At 58.9% G+C, this 16,012-nt stretch overlaps 2 long non-coding RNA genes across 3 annotated transcripts in view, besides 2 other annotated features; one reads left to right on the top strand and one right to left on the bottom strand.

The window, feature by feature from the left end:
- DANT1 (DXZ4 associated non-coding transcript 1, proximal) overlaps positions 1 to 13,998 on the bottom strand; it is a 64,564-nt gene extending 50,566 nt beyond the window's left edge. The window contains exons 1-2 of one of the 2 annotated variants that reach the window (NR_147172.1): positions 13,884 to 13,998; positions 11,781 to 11,872 (exon numbers count right to left, since the gene is read on the bottom strand). This is a non-coding gene — a long non-coding RNA (DXZ4 associated non-coding transcript 1, proximal). The remainder of the gene's footprint in view (positions 1 to 11,780; positions 11,873 to 13,883) is intronic. The other variant, NR_147173.1, reaches the window with a different exon arrangement.
- DANT2 (DXZ4 associated non-coding transcript 2, distal) overlaps positions 1 to 14,566 on the top strand; it is a 128,716-nt gene extending 114,150 nt beyond the window's left edge. The window contains exon 2 of the long non-coding RNA NR_132337.1: positions 14,382 to 14,566. This is a non-coding gene — a long non-coding RNA (DXZ4 associated non-coding transcript 2, distal). The remainder of the gene's footprint in view (positions 1 to 14,381) is intronic.
- Positions 13,086 to 13,684: an enhancer, noted in NCBI's record as "H3K27ac hESC enhancer chrX:114957611-114958209 (GRCh37/hg19 assembly coordinates)". NCBI's record gives its function as "activates a minimal SCP1, AML or CMV promoter by ChIP-STARR-seq in naive H9 embryonic stem cells {active_cell/tissue: H9 hESC(naive)}" and the evidence as "EXISTENCE:reporter gene assay evidence [ECO:0000049][PMID:30033119]".
- Positions 13,685 to 14,284: an enhancer, noted in NCBI's record as "H3K27ac hESC enhancer chrX:114957011-114957610 (GRCh37/hg19 assembly coordinates)". NCBI's record gives its function as "activates a minimal SCP1, AML or CMV promoter by ChIP-STARR-seq in naive H9 embryonic stem cells {active_cell/tissue: H9 hESC(naive)}" and the evidence as "EXISTENCE:reporter gene assay evidence [ECO:0000049][PMID:30033119]".
- Positions 14,567 to 16,012: the final 1,446 nt, after the last annotated feature.

Here is a 16,012-nt window from a genome sequence, read left to right as displayed (position 1 = left end):
CTGCAACTGAACGTGTGAGACATGGTGCAGATAGGCTGAGAGGCGGCGGGAGAGATGCCCATGAACTCAAGTACCCGGACACGCCCTCCACTTCTACCACCACGAGTAACACCGCCCCCACGGGACCGCTCTCGAGGTCCCCCAAGCCAAGGTGAGGCAAGTCCCAGTTGAATGTCATCCCGTTCCTCTTGGGCACGGCGGACCGCTCTCGCCCTTAAAGGTGCGTTGACGTGGAAGGTGAATGTCTCTTTGCGTGACAGTGCCTCAGCGCACGGGCGACGAGGGGCACACCTATCCCCCTGGCTCGCTCTCTAGCTGGATTCAGGTGGAACGGAGGACCATGAACCCTCTGGACCTTTTCTGCCTTGGTCCTATGCTTGTAAGGTTTCCGGCCTAAGAGGCCCATCGACTCCTTCTGCCTTCTTTCAGTTGATTACAAAATAAATAAATAAATAAATAAATAAATAAATAAATAAAAAAGCAGGACATTAAACCTGCCACCTCCAGAGGGTCCTCTAGCTTCCTTCTCCACTCCTGGATTGAGCGAAGCGGTGCCGACCTCCACCCTTTGGGCACGAGCCCCTGTGCACTTGGGAGACTCCTGAACACCCTCGGAGAAGCCAGAAAGCCCCGGGAGATGGCTCCGTCTGCTGCTGTACCAGACCGGGTCCTGCAAAGGATGCATCCTCCGAGCCTCCTCCCTGCACGTCCAGTGGGGCCTGCCCCGATTCTACCTGAGGGACCCACTGGAGGAGAGGCACGGGGATGCTGCCTGAGCAGCGGACCCTTCTGGCGCGGAGCAGGCTGTCCCCAGGCAGAGTCCGACGGGTCCTTCCTTCTGGGTGCCCCCGGCTTCCCGGACTCCAGCAGGCCTGGGAAGGCCCCGGGCCCCCTTAGCCGATGCCCAGAGAGTCTCCATTTCTCAAGCTTTGCCACCGAACTCATCGGTCGGTGCGCCTCTGATCGCAGGGCAAGGGCCTGCGCACCCCCAAAGACAAGCGGGGTCCCCGGAAGGCCCCCAGGCAGAAATGAGCACCACGGGGAACGGCCCGCCTCCAAGACAACCTCGGGGACATGGACACAACAAGACAGGGTGGCAAGTCTCAACAAGGCGGGTGCGCGGCGTCTAAGGGTGGCCTGGCCGGGCCGGGCCGGGCCGGGCCGGGCCTGGCCTTGCGTCCACCTCGTCAAGAACCGTCTGGGTACGGGCCCCGCGGGATGCCCCGCGGCCCACCTTCCTCCCTAGGACGCAAGGAGGAACGCCCCGGCGCCGGCCAGCAGCGGCGGGCACCGGCGCCAATGGCCACGGAACTCAGCACTGGCAGTCGGCCCTCCTCACGCCGCAGGCGTGCAGTGTGGCCGACGGAGCCTCCCGGGCCGAGGACCCAGCTAGGCCGTCACCCCGGTTGCTCCCACGGGAAGGGGCACCAGGCAAACTGCCCAAGGCCCCGAGCCCAGGCTCCCTGGCGGAGGCCTCCGCTGGTCCCGCCCAGATCAGGGCCGCCACCAGGCTCCCGAGCCATGGCTTCCTGTCCGGGAACGGCCCGGCGTCCTGGCTGTCCAGCTAGTCCTGGCGCCTCTCTCTGGGGCTTCCACCGCCCGACCCCGCGGCGGAGCCTGCTTCTCTCGGACCTCCAGAGACCTCGGATCCGTCCGAGCACCTGCCCTAGTCCTGCCTGGTCCCCCAGGACAGTCCCAAGCCACTCCTCCCCAGGCGAGCACAGCGAAGGGTGCGCGGGATTGCCAAGCCAGTTCCTCTTGATGGCAGTATTGCTCCAGAAATGCCCACCTGCCCTTCCCCCACGTCCACTCCCTCCGCCCTTTGCTGAGGAAAAAACGCCAACAGCGCCCCGCACATGGCGGATCAGCATCTCGGCCGCTTTGGGCCAGCCCTGGCCCACCTGCGGGACCCTGTCCTTGGCAGATGGGACTCGGCGGGACCCTTCTTACTAGCCTGCCTTCCTGACAAACCAGAAAGCGGTCCCCTTGGACCGCCCTGGGGATGGACCCGACCTAACCGCATCCCTAACGATGCGTTAGGATGGGAGGATGGTGGAACCCGCAGGGACGAGAAGGAGACTGGGCACACACGAGGATCCCAGCCCCGGCCCTGCCCCCCGGGACACATTGGCACTTGGGCATTCTCACGGGTCACGGCAAGGCCAGCTTGACCAAGAGGTCAAAGGCGACTGGCGTCCCACTGACCGCTGGGGGTTTGGCCTCAAACTTCAGGTGAACCCACAATTCCGGAATAGCGGGACCGGCACCCGGGCCCTTCTCACGTGGCAGCACCGGCAAGGGGCTGGGGGAAGAGCCCACGCCAGCCTACGTCACGCAGGAAGGGAGCCAGTGGCCACCCCAAACACACCTCTCCTCCTCACACCTGGCCTACGTCCAACTCTCCACGGCTCTGCCCAGAAGGCTGCACGTACAACACACACAGAGGCGGGCATTTCCCTGACGACTCGTGTGTGCCGTGGGGGAGCGGTAGATGGCCCAGCCCCAAGTGTTCCGATCTTCCTGCCCAAACATATTCTGTGACGGAAAGCCTATGTTGACCTCGTCCGGCACTCAAGGCGTGGGCAGCGGCCTAACGTCTGCTGCGGGAACACAGTCGCGTTGAATGCTATTCTCAAGACAGACAAAACAGTGGGAAGACACTACGCCAAGCTGCTAACTCCCTGGCCATTGCCGGACTCTTTCACCCCCATGGACTTTCCGCTGGCATTTTAAACAACATAGTTTCTTTTCTCTGTCTCTTTCTCTTTCTCTCTCTCTTTCTCTTTCTCTCTCTCTCTCTCTCTCTCTCTCTCAATCTCATAATTTCTCTCTCTCGTGCCACGTTCCCACCCAACGCTCTCTCGCCCACTTCTACTGGGGCCCACTTCCTCTCCTGCTCTCTCTGTCTCAACGTGATTGACTTTCTTGTGCTGCCCAGGACTTCTTGCCCACGTGCGCCTTCAAAACGGTAAGAGCTGCAACTGAACGTGTGAGACATGGTGCAGATAGGCTGAGAGGCGGCGGGAGAGATGCCCATGAACTCAAGTACCCGGACACGCCCTCCACTTCTACCACCACGAGTAACACCGCCCCCACGGGACTGCTCTCGAGGTCCCCCAAGCCAAGGTGAGGCAAGTCCCAGTTGAATGTCATCCCATTCCTCTTGGGCACGGCGGACCGCTCTCGCCCTTAAAGGTGCGTTGACGTGGAAGGTGAATGTCTCTTTGCGTGACAGTGCCTCAGCGCACGGGCGACGAGGGGCACACCTATCCCCCTGGCTCGCTCTCTAGCTGGATTCAGGTGGAACGGAGGACCATGAACCCTCTGGACCTTTTCTGCCTTGGTCCTATGCTTGTAAGGTTTCCGGCCTAAGAGGCCCATCGACTCCTTCTGCCTTCTTTCAGTTGATTACAAAATAAATAAATAAATAAATAAATAAATAAATAAATAAATAAATAAAAAAGCAGGACATTAAACCTGCCACCTCCAGAGGGTCCTCTAGCTTCCTTCTCCACTCCTGGATTGAGCGAAGCGGTGCCGACCTCCACCCTTTGGGCACGAGCCCCTGTGCACTTGGGAGACTCCCGAACACCCTCGGAGAAGCCAGAAAGCCCCGGGAGATGGCTCCGTCTGCTGCTGTACCAGACCGGGTCCTGCAAAGGATGCATCCTCCGAGCCTCCTCCCTGCACGTCCAGTGGGGCCTGCCCCGATTCTACCTGAGGGAGCCACTGGAGGAGAGGCACGGGGATGCTGCCTGAGCAGCGGACCCTTCTGGCGCAGAGCAGGCTGTCCCCAGGCAGAGTCCGACGGGTCCTTCCTTCTGGGTGCCCCCGGCTTCCCGGACTCCAGCAGGCCTGGGAAGGCCCCGGGCCCCCTTAGCCGATGCCCAGAGAGTCTCCATTTCTCAAGCTTTGCCACCGAACTCATCGGTCGGTGCGCCTCTGATCGCAGGGCAAGGGCCTGCGCACCCCCAAAGACAAGCGGGGTCCCCGGAAGGCCCCCAGGCAGAAATGAGCACCACGGGGAACGGCCCGCCTCCAAGACAACCTCGGGGACATGGACACAACAAGACAGGGTGGCAAGTCTCAACAAGGCGGGTGCGCGGCGTCTAAGGGTGGCCTGGCCGGGCCGGGCCGGGCCGGGCCGGGCCTGGCCTTGCGTCCACCTCGTCAAGAACCGTCTGGGTACGGGCCCCGCGGGATGCCCCGCGGCCCACCTTCCTCCCTAGGACGCAAGGAGGAACGCCCCGGCGCCGGCCAGCAGCGGCGGGCACCGGCGCCAATGGCCACGGAACTCAGCACTGGCAGTCGGCCCTCCTCACGCCGCAGGCGTGCAGTGTGGCCGACGGAGCCTCCCGGGCCGAGGACCCAGCTAGGCCGTCACCCCGGTTGCTCCCACGGGAAGGGGCACCAGGCAAACTGCCCAAGGCCCCGAGCCCAGGCTCCCTGGCGGAGGCCTCCGCTGGTCCCGCCCAGATCATGGCCGCCACCAGGCTCCCGAGCCATGGCTTCCTGTCCGGGAACGGCCCGGCGTCCTGGCTGTCCAGCTAGTCCTGGCGCCTCTCTCTGGGGCTTCCACCGCCCGACCCCGCGGCGGAGCCTGCTTCTCTCGGACCTCCAGAGACCTCGGATCCGTCCGAGCACCTGCCCTAGTCCTGCCTGGTCCCCCAGGACAGTCCCAAGCCACTCCTCCCCAGGCGAGCACAGCGAAGGGTGCGCGGGATTGCCAAGCCAGTTCCTCTTGATGGCAGTATTGCTCCAGAAATGCCCACCTGCCCTTCCCCCACGTCCACTCCCTCCGCCCTTTGCTGAGGAAAAAACGCCAACAGCGCCCCGCACATGGCGGATCAGCATCTCGGCCGCTTTGGGCCAGCCCTGGCCCACCTGCGGGACCCTGTCCTTGGCAGATGGGACTCGGCGGGACCCTTCTTACTAGCCTGCCTTCCTGACAAACCAGAAAGCGGTCCCCTTGGACCGCCCTGGGGATGGACCCGACCTAACCGCATCCCTAACGATGCGTTAGGATGGGAGGATGGTGGAACCCGCAGGGACGAGAAGGAGACTGGGCACACACGAGGATCCCAGCCCCGGCCCTGCCCCCCGGGACACATTGGCACTTGGGCATTCTCACGGGTCACGGCAAGGCCAGCTTGACCAAGAGGTCAAAGGCGACTGGCGTCCCACTGACCGCTGGGGGTTTGGCCTCAAACTTCAGGTGAACCCACAATTCCGGAATAGCGGGACCGGCACCCGGGCCCTTCTCACGTGGCAGCACCGGCAAGGGGCTGGGGGAAGAGCCCACGCCAGCCTACGTCACGCAGGAAGGGAGCCAGTGGCCACCCCAAACACACCTCTCCTCCTCACACCTGGCCTACGTCCAACTCTCCACGGCTCTGCCCAGAAGGCTGCACGTACAACACACACAGAGGCGGGCATTTCCCTGACGACTCGTGTGTGCCGTGGGGGAGCGGTAGATGGCCCAGCCCCAAGTGTTCCGATCTTCCTGCCCAAACATATTCTGTGACGGAAAGCCTATGTTGACCTCGTCCGGCACTCAAGGCGTGGGCAGCGGCCTAACGTCTGCTGCGGGAACACAGTCGCGTTGAATGCTATTCTCAAGACAGACAAAACAGTGGGAAGACACTACGCCAAGCTGCTAACTCCCTGGCCATTGCCGGACTCTTTCACCCCCATGGACTTTCCGCTGGCATTTTAAACAACATAGTTTCTTTTCTCTGTCTCTTTCTCTTTCTCTCTCTCTTTCTCTTTCTCTCTCTCTCTCTCTCTCTCTCTCAATCTCATAATTTCTCTCTCTCGTGCCACGTTCCCACCCAACGCTCTCTCGCCCACTTCTACTGGGGCCCACTTCCTCTCCTGCTCTCTCTGTCTCAACGTGATTGACTTTCTTGTGCTGCCCAGGACTTCTTGCCCACGTGCGCCTTCAAAACGGTAAGAGCTGCAACTGAACGTGTGAGACATGGTGCAGATAGGCTGAGAGGCGGCGGGAGAGATGCCCATGAACTCAAGTACCCGGACACGCCCTCCACTTCTACCACCACGAGTAACACCGCCCCCACGGGACCGCTCTCGAGGTCCCCCAAGCCAAGGTGAGGCAAGTCCCAGTTGAATGTCATCCCGTTCCTCTTGGGCACGGCGGACCGCTCTCGCCCTTAAAGGTGCGTTGACGTGGAAGGTGAATGTCTCTTTGCGTGACAGTGCCTCAGCGCACGGGCGACGAGGGGCACACCTATCCCCCTGGCTCGCTCTCTAGCTGGATTCAGGTGGAACGGAGGACCATGAACCCTCTGGCCCTTTTCTGCCTTGGTCCTATGCTTGTAAGGTTTCCGGCCTAAGAGGCCCATCGACTCCTTCTGCCTTCTTTCAGTTGATTACAAAATAAATAAATAAATAAATAAATAAATAAATAAATAAATAAATAAAAAAGCAGGACATTAAACCTGCCACCTCCAGAGGGTCCTCTAGCTTCCTTCTCCACTCCTGGATTGAGCGAAGCGGTGCCGACCTCCACCCTTTGGGCACGAGCCCCTGTGCACTTGGGAGACTCCTGAACACCCTCGGAGAAGCCAGAAAGCCCCGGGAGATGGCTCCGTCTGCTGCTGTACCAGACCGGGTCCTGCAAAGGATGCATCCTCCGAGCCTCCTCCCTGCACGTCCAGTGGGGCCTGCCCCGATTCTACCTGAGGGACCCACTGGAGGAGAGGCACGGGGATGCTGCCTGAGCAGCGGACCCTTCTGGCGCGGAGCAGGCTGTCCCCAGGCAGAGTCCGACGGGTCCTTCCTTCTGGGTGCCCCCGGCTTCCCGGACTCCAGCAGGCCTGGGAAGGCCCCGGGCCCCCTTAGCCGATGCCCAGAGAGTCTCCATTTCTCAAGCTTTGCCACCGAACTCATCGGTCGGTGCGCCTCTGATCGCAGGGCAAGGGCCTGCGCACCCCCAAAGACAAGCGGGGTCCCCGGAAGGCCCCCAGGCAGAAATGAGCACCACGGGGAACGGCCCGCCTCCAAGACAACCTCGGGGACATGGACACAACAAGACAGGGTGGCAAGTCTCAACAAGGCGGGTGCGCGGCGTCTAAGGGTGGCCTGGCCGGGCCGGGCCGGGCCGGGCCGGGCCTGGCCTTGCGTCCACCTCGTCAAGAACCGTCTGGGTACGGGCCCCGCGGGATGCCCCGCGGCCCACCTTCCTCCCTAGGACGCAAGGAGGAACGCCCCGGCGCCGGCCAGCAGCGGCGGGCACCGGCGCCAATGGCCACGGAACTCAGCACTGGCAGTCGGCCCTCCTCACGCCGCAGGCGTGCAGTGTGGCCGACGGAGCCTCCCGGGCCGAGGACCCAGCTAGGCCGTCACCCCGGTTGCTCCCACGGGAAGGGGCACCAGGCAAACTGCCCAAGGCCCCGAGCCCAGGCTCCCTGGCGGAGGCCTCCGCTGGTCCCGCCCAGATCATGGCCGCCACCAGGCTCCCGAGCCATGGCTTCCTGTCCGGGAACGGCCCGGCGTCCTGGCTGTCCAGCTAGTCCTGGCGCCTCTCTCTGGGGCTTCCACCGCCCGACCCCGCGGCGGAGCCTGCTTCTCTCGGACCTCCAGAGACCTCGGATCCGTCCGAGCACCTGCCCTAGTCCTGCCTGGTCCCCCAGGACAGTCCCAAGCCACTCCTCCCCAGGCGAGCACAGCGAAGGGTGCGCGGGATTGCCAAGCCAGTTCCTCTTGATGGCAGTATTGCTCCAGAAATGCCCACCTGCCCTTCCCCCACGTCCACTCCCTCCGCCCTTTGCTGAGGAAAAAACGCCAACAGCGCCCCGCACATGGCGGATCAGCATCTCGGCCGCTTTGGGCCAGCCCTGGCCCACCTGCGGGACCCTGTCCTTGGCAGATGGGACTCGGCGGGACCCTTCTTACTAGCCTGCCTTCCTGACAAACCAGAAAGCGGTCCCCTTGGACCGCCCTGGGGATGGACCCGACCTAACCGCATCCCTAACGATGCGTTAGGATGGGAGGATGGTGGAACCCGCAGGGACGAGAAGGAGACTGGGCACACACGAGGATCCCAGCCCCGGCCCTGCCCCCCGGGACACATTGGCACTTGGGCATTCTCACGGGTCACGGCAAGGCCAGCTTGACCAAGAGGTCAAAGGCGACTGGCGTCCCACTGACCGCTGGGGGTTTGGCCTCAAACTTCAGGTGAACCCACAATTCCGGAATAGCGGGACCGGCACCCGGGCCCTTCTCACGTGGCAGCACCGGCAAGGGGCTGGGGGAAGAGCCCACGCCAGCCTACGTCACGCAGGAAGGGAGCCAGTGGCCACCCCAAACACACCTCTCCTCCTCACACCTGGCCTACGTCCAACTCTCCACGGCTCTGCCCAGAAGGCTGCACGTACAACACACACAGAGGCGGGCATTTCCCTGACGACTCGTGTGTGCCGTGGGGGAGCGGTAGATGGCCCAGCCCCAAGTGTTCCGATCTTCCTGCCCAAACATATTCTGTGACGGAAAGCCTATGTTGACCTCGTCCGGCACTCAAGGCGTGGGCAGCGGCCTAACGTCTGCTGCGGGAACACAGTCGCGTTGAATGCTATTCTCAAGACAGACAAAACAGTGGGAAGACACTACGCCAAGCTGCTAACTCCCTGGCCATTGCCGGACTCTTTCACCCCCATGGACTTTCCGCTGGCATTTTAAACAACATAGTTTCTTTTCTCTGTCTCTTTCTCTTTCTCTCTCTCTTTCTCTTTCTCTCTCTCTCTCTCTCTCTCTCTCAATCTCATAATTTCTCTCTCTCGTGCCACGTTCCCACCCAACGCTCTCTCGCCCACTTCTACTGGGGCCCACTTCCTCTCCTGCTCTCTCTGTCTCAACGTGATTGACTTTCTTGTGCTGCCCAGGACTTCTTGCCCACGTGCGCCTTCAAAACGGTAAGAGCTGCAACTGAACGTGTGAGACATGGTGCAGATAGGCTGAGAGGCGGCGGGAGAGATGCCCATGAACTCAAGTACCCGGACACGCCCTCCACTTCTACCACCACGAGTAACACCGCCCCCACGGGACCGCTCTCGAGGTCCCCCAAGCCAAGGTGAGGCAAGTCCCAGTTGAATGTCATCCCGTTCCTCTTGGGCACGGCGGACCGCTCTCGCCCTTAAAGGTGCGTTGACGTGGAAGGTGAATGTCTCTTTGCGTGACAGTGCCTCAGCGCACGGGCGACGAGGGGCACACCTATCCCCCTGGCTCGCTCTCTAGCTGGATTCAGGTGGAACGGAGGACCATGAACCCTCTGGCCCTTTTCTGCCTTGGTCCTATGCTTGTAAGGTTTCCGGCCTAAGAGGCCCATCGACTCCTTCTGCCTTCTTTCAGTTGATTACAAAATAAATAAATAAATAAATAAATAAATAAATAAATAAATAAATAAAAAAGCAGGACATTAAACCTGCCACCTCCAGAGGGTCCTCTAGCTTCCTTCTCCACTCCTGGATTGAGCGAAGCGGTGCCGACCTCCACCCTTTGGGCACGAGCCCCTGTGCACTTGGGAGACTCCTGAACACCCTCGGAGAAGCCAGAAAGCCCCGGGAGATGGCTCCGTCTGCTGCTGTACCAGACCGGGTCCTGCAAAGGATGCATCCTCCGAGCCTCCTCCCTGCACGTCCAGTGGGGCCTGCCCCGATTCTACCTGAGGGACCCACTGGAGGAGAGGCACGGGGATGCTGCCTGAGCAGCGGACCCTTCTGGCGCGGAGCAGGCTGTCCCCAGGCAGAGTCCGACGGGTCCTTCCTTCTGGGTGCCCCCGGCTTCCCGGACTCCAGCAGGCCTGGGAAGGCCCCGGGCCCCCTTAGCCGATGCCCAGAGAGTCTCCATTTCTCAAGCTTTGCCACCGAACTCATCGGTCGGTGCGCCTCTGATCGCAGGGCAAGGGCCTGCGCACCCCCAAAGACAAGCGGGGTCCCCGGAAGGCCCCCAGGCAGAAATGAGCACCACGGGGAACGGCCCGCCTCCAAGACAACCTCGGGGACATGGACACAACAAGACAGGGTGGCAAGTCTCAACAAGGCGGGTGCGCGGCGTCTAAGGGTGGCCTGGCCGGGCCGGGCCGGGCCGGGCCGGGCCTGGCCTTGCGTCCACCTCGTCAAGAACCGTCTGGGTACGGGCCCCGCGGGATGCCCCGCGGCCCACCTTCCTCCCTAGGACGCAAGGAGGAACGCCCCGGCGCCGGCCAGCAGCGGCGGGCACCGGCGCCAATGGCCACGGAACTCAGCACTGGCAGTCGGCCCTCCTCACGCCGCAGGCGTGCAGTGTGGCCGACGGAGCCTCCCGGGCCGAGGACCCAGCTAGGCCGTCACCCCGGTTGCTCCCACGGGAAGGGGCACCAGGCAAACTGCCCAAGGCCCCGAGCCCAGGCTCCCTGGCGGAGGCCTCCGCTGGTCCCGCCCAGATCATGGCCGCCACCAGGCTCCCGAGCCATGGCTTCCTGTCCGGGAACGGCCCGGCGTCCTGGCTGTCCAGCTAGTCCTGGCGCCTCTCTCTGGGGCTTCCACCGCCCGACCCCGCGGCGGAGCCTGCTTCTCTCGGACCTCCAGAGACCTCGGATCCGTCCGAGCACCTGCCCTAGTCCTGCCTGGTCCCCCAGGACAGTCCCAAGCCACTCCTCCCCAGGCGAGCACAGCGAAGGGTGCGCGGGATTGCCAAGCCAGTTCCTCTTGATGGCAGTATTGCTCCAGAAATGCCCACCTGCCCTTCCCCCACGTCCACTCCCTCCGCCCTTTGCTGAGGAAAAAACGCCAACAGCGCCCCGCACATGGCGGATCAGCATCTCGGCCGCTTTGGGCCAGCCCTGGCCCACCTGCGGGACCCTGTCCTTGGCAGATGGGACTCGGCGGGACCCTTCTTACTAGCCTGCCTTCCTGACAAACCAGAAAGCGGTCCCCTTGGACCGCCCTGGGGATGGACCCGACCTAACCGCATCCCTAACGATGCGTTAGGATGGGAGGATGGTGGAACCCGCAGGGACGAGAAGGAGACTGGGCACACACGAGGATCCCAGCCCCGGCCCTGCCCCCCGGGACACATTGGCACTTGGGCATTCTCACGGGTCACGGCAAGGCCAGCTTGACCAAGAGGTCAAAGGCGACTGGCGTCCCACTGACCGCTGGGGGTTTGGCCTCAAACTTCAGGTGAACCCACAATTCCGGAATAGCGGGACCGGCACCCGGGCCCTTCTCACGTGGCAGCACCGGCAAGGGGCTGGGGGAAGAGCCCACGCCAGCCTACGTCACGCAGGAAGGGAGCCAGTGGCCACCCCAAACACACCTCTCCTCCTCACACCTGGCCTACGTCCAACTCTCCACGGCTCTGCCCAGAAGGCTGCACGTACAACACACACAGAGGCGGGCATTTCCCTGACGACTCGTGTGTGCCGTGGGGGAGCGGTAGATGGCCCAGCCCCAAGTGTTCCGATCTTCCTGCCCAAACATATTCTGTGACGGAAAGCCTATGTTGACCTCGTCCGGCACTCAAGGCGTGGGCAGCGGCCTAACGTCTGCTGCGGGAACACAGTCGCGTTGAATGCTATTCTCAAGACAGACAAAACAGTGGGAAGACACTACGCCAGGCTGCTAACTCCCTGTCCCTTGCCGGACTCTTTGACCTCCATGGACTTTCCATTGTTGTTTTCTACAGCACCGTTTCTTCTTTCTCTGTCTCTCTTTCTCTCTCTCTCTCTCTCTCTCTTTCTGTCACTCTCTCTCTCTCGACATTGAGGTCCAACGCCCTCTCACCCACTTCTTCCGGGCTCGCTTCCTTTTCTGCTCTCCATGTCTCAACATGATTGGGTTTCTTGGACTGTCTGGTTCTTCTTGCCCACATGTGCCTTTAAAGGGGACATGGATTAATAAGAACACATAACATTCATCATGTCTAAAAAATCAACGTTGGGAAAGCTGTTACGGGAATTGGGTTTTTACATGTCACCACAGAACTTATGTGAGTTATTTCATTTTGGAAATAAGGCCGGGGCCAGTGAAGCACTGCAATTCCACAACTTTGGGACGTCACGGTAGGTGGATTCTTTGAGCTCGGCAGTTCTAGGCCAGCGTGAGCAATATGGCGGAACCCCATCTCTGCAAAAAATAGTAATATTAATAAAAGACCCATCCAAACAATAACCAAAAACTATCCCGGTGTGGTAGTGCGCACTTGTAATAACAGCTACTTTGGAGGATGTGTTTGGAGGATTGCTGGAGGCCAGAAAGTTGAGGCTGTAGTGAGTCTTGAAGGTGCCACAGCATTCCAGCCTGGGTGACAGAGGAAGACTCCCTATCAAGAAAGGAGGAAAGAATCAGAGAAGGGAAGAGAAAAGAAAGCCAAACTTTTGCCTCAGTATCAGTAACAAGAAACATATGCACATACAAATACACACACACACTGAGCACTGCCCTCTAGAAATAACCAATGTAATTGTGTTTTCTTTCCTTTTTGACTCTTTGTCTACATAATTTGTCCAACTTGTATCGATATTTTGTATTATTATGACTATCTTCTATCATCTTTGATACCTTAAATTATTTCTTTATAATCTTCTTTTTATTTCATTAATAATCACGGCCATTTCAAATCCTATTTTACAGAACTGTAGAAAGATGAAAATGTGAAAGCCCTGAAATTTTTGTTGTTTGAGACGGAATCTCACTCTGTCACCAGGGCTGGAGTGCATTGGCAGGTTATCATCTCGCTGCAACCTCCCCCTCCCGGGTTCAAGCGATTTTTCTGCCTCAGTTTCCCGAGTATCTGGGATTAGAGGCACCCGCCACTACACCCAGCTATTTTTTTGTATTTTTAGTAGAGACGGGGTTTCACCATGTTGGCCAGGCTAGTCTCGAACTCCTGACCCTGTGATTCGCCCGCCTTGGCCTCCCAAAGTCCAGGGATTAAATGTGTGAGCCACCTCGCCCAGGCAAGTCCCTGAAAATTTTGAGGGCTTGTCCTTCCACGTTGTTAAGTGCATATATGGAAATGAAGTATATTGCCGTTTTTCTTTCTTTTTTTAAAAGAAGGGCTCTGGCTCTGATGCCCAAGATGGAGTGCAATGGAGCAATCCCAGTTCACTGCAGTCGCAAAGTCCTGGGCACAAGCAATCCTCCCGCCCCAGCCTCCAGAGTAGCTGGAACTACAGGCCCGCGGCATCATGCGTGGCTAATTTTTGTTTAGAGACGGCGTTTCACCATGTTGGCCAGGCTGGACTCGAACTCCTGGTCTCAAGTGATTCTCCCGCCTTAGTCTTCCAAGGTGCTGGGATTACAGGCGTGAGCCACTGCGCCCGGCCTGAAGCTGTATTTCTTTTTGTTCAATTATTCGTTAGAGGAAATGTTTCTTCTACAGTTTTACATTACGGGGAGCCCTGCCTGTGGGCAGGGCAGCCACGTGGTTTAACAACCACTCAATCTAAACCGAACGAGAGCGCACACCTCCTCAGCCATGTAGGTGGGGAGAACACCAGTGGGGCGAAGAAATCTGCAGGCGCACCCTTCTCCCTCTGCCCGCCCTGCCACAGGAGACGCTTCCAGGCTCCCGACGGGGAAGGCCAGAAAGGCTCTACTAGAAGGACCTCCCTACACTTGCCAGAACTAAAACTTAGGCAGCGGCAAAAACTCGGCGTCCAAAACGCGCCCGAAAGCCCTCCGATGCCTGCAGGACGCTGGAGCCAGCTCGGCTGCAGCCGCCATTGCACAAGGTCGCGCGCCCGGCACTGGCTGCCCAGAAGCCGGAGGGCAGGGAAGGTCCTCTGCACCAGAAAGGCTGCCCATGGCACAAACCCTGATCTCGTGTCCTGTGTCAAGGAAAGGAAAGGCAAATAAAGGAAAGAAAAGGCGAAGGAGACCTACCTGATTGAGGCCACGCGCCAACGGGAAAGGCCCAGTCCGCTCTACGTCCCGCAGTCGCACCTCAGATATGGGGTAGGATGCCCCCTCCCCATTCCTGGGAGGTGAGGGCTGAAAGAATCCGGGGAGGGGAAGGGAGAGGAATCCGGTCTTCCTAGAGCCGGCTCCGCCCAGGGTAGGAGTGGGGTGTCCTCAGCCTGCTCCTGGTGCAAGAAGGGGCGGAGAGAGGCAGCTTTGGGAAAGTTGGGTGGGAAACCTCTTGTCTTAGCTAATTGCTGAGGAGTACCTATTTGTCCCATTTGTTTCCTTTGAGTAAGGTCTTCGCTGGCAAGAGGGCAAAGGAGACTGATGTATCGAGAAAATGAAAAGTTTACTGTTTAACATTCACAAAACGGTTTAGAGGAAAAAGAAGCTTAAGCAAGTACACTTTCAGGCGATGTTATAAGTTTGTATCATCTGTATGCCTGACGTTATTGAAAGCTTCAATTGTTCCCTCCCCAGGTGAGAGGCGTCTTCCCAAGACCAGACACTGCCGGTGCCCTGTCACCTCCCACTTTTTTTCTGGAACTGCTAGGGGCCCAGCGCTGCTTCTGCAGCCTTCCAGGGGATGCTGCTGGTGGCGCGTATGCCGCCTAGGTGGGTGGGGATGTGCTGAGGCCGAAGGAGTGACAGCGACTCGCAGGTTTCCCCTGCCTGACCAGTCCTCTGATTGATATTTTCTTTTGAAAAAAGGGACTTGCGGCCGGGCGCGGTGGCTCACGCCTGTAATCCAACACTTTGGGAGGCCGAGGCGGGTGGATCACCTGAAGTCGGGAGTTCGAGACCAGCCTGACCAACATGGAGAAACCCTGTCTCTATTGAAAATACAAAATTAGCCGGGCTTGGTGGCGAATGCCTGTAATCCCAGCTACTCAGGAGGCCTAGGCAGGAGAATCGCTTGAACCTGGGAGGCGGAGGTTGTGGTGAGTCGAGATCGCGCCATTGCACTCCAGCTTGGGCAACAAGAACAAAACTCCGTCTCAAAAAAAAAAAAAAAAAAAAAAAGGGACTTGCTGCTCTTGCAGAATGGAGACACCTGTAGCGTATTAAGGAAAATGAAGATAATCTGTTGATGACAGTACTCTGAGGAGTGTTAACTTGGGGCATGCATCCTCCCAGCACCTTGTTCCCTAAGGGGAGGGGAGATGCAAATAAAGGTCCTTTAAAAATAATAGCCTGGTGAGTTCCCAAGGCTCATGGGAATCATGCAAGCTATTCGGGTTGCTTAAAAACTTGACTGTGAAGATGTTGTGGAATTTTTTTTTTCTCTTCACAATGTAGTCCTTGATTGGTTTTTGGGAGAATTTTTTTTTTCACAAATGGAAACGTGTTTTCAGTGGGAACCAAAGTCATTCCTGCCCAGGTACACTCTCCAGTGAACTCACCTTAAAAGAGACACTTAAAAAGAAATCTAAGGCCTCTGAGGGCACTACAACTGGTCTTTGACCAGCTCCAACTTCTCAGAATTTCCTGGCTCCATTTCACTCCTCACCAACTGACGTTCACACTCTCAGTCCGCCACCCCCACCCCAAGACCACCTGCTGCCAGATACTCCCAGACCTTTTCTCTTACTCATTCCCTTGCGGTTTGGGCAGAGGTGGGTGGGAATTACCAGGAGGTGGGGGGAGGAGGAGCATAAATGGGCACAGGTGATGCTTTATTCTTGTCAGGCAGCTGCCTTCACCTGCTAAGGGGAGAGTTGGGGGAGGGTTTAAGGCTCTGCCACAACTCCACGTTGTAGAAAATGGAAACTGAAAAGAGCTTTCCCCTCACCCCAGGTGGAATTACCCAAAAAGTAACTGAGCTATGAATCTCAGCTGCCCCTCTCTGGATACTTCCCTGTCTTTCTCCTCCTTTATTTAAGGGAGGAATGTCCATCGCCTGACACAGAGAACTAAGTCATAGCCTTTTTTCTGTCTACATTCCCTGAACGGACAGATTCAATAAGCACTCATTGTGCCAGGAAACCAAGGTCTACAGAGGCTAAATGGTTTTGCCAAGGTGAATTAAGGTGGCAGGATGGAACCAAACATGCCAGGCTCTCATGCTGCAAATCCTTTGCTTTCTCCATGCAAACGGCCAAGCAGCTCAG

The sequence above is a fragment of the Homo sapiens genome, chromosome X, assembly GCF_000001405.40.
Source record: "Homo sapiens chromosome X, GRCh38.p14 Primary Assembly".
In the NCBI taxonomy this organism is placed as follows: domain Eukaryota; kingdom Metazoa; phylum Chordata; class Mammalia; order Primates; family Hominidae; genus Homo; species Homo sapiens.
This window is presented reverse-complemented; position numbering and strand designations above follow the sequence as displayed.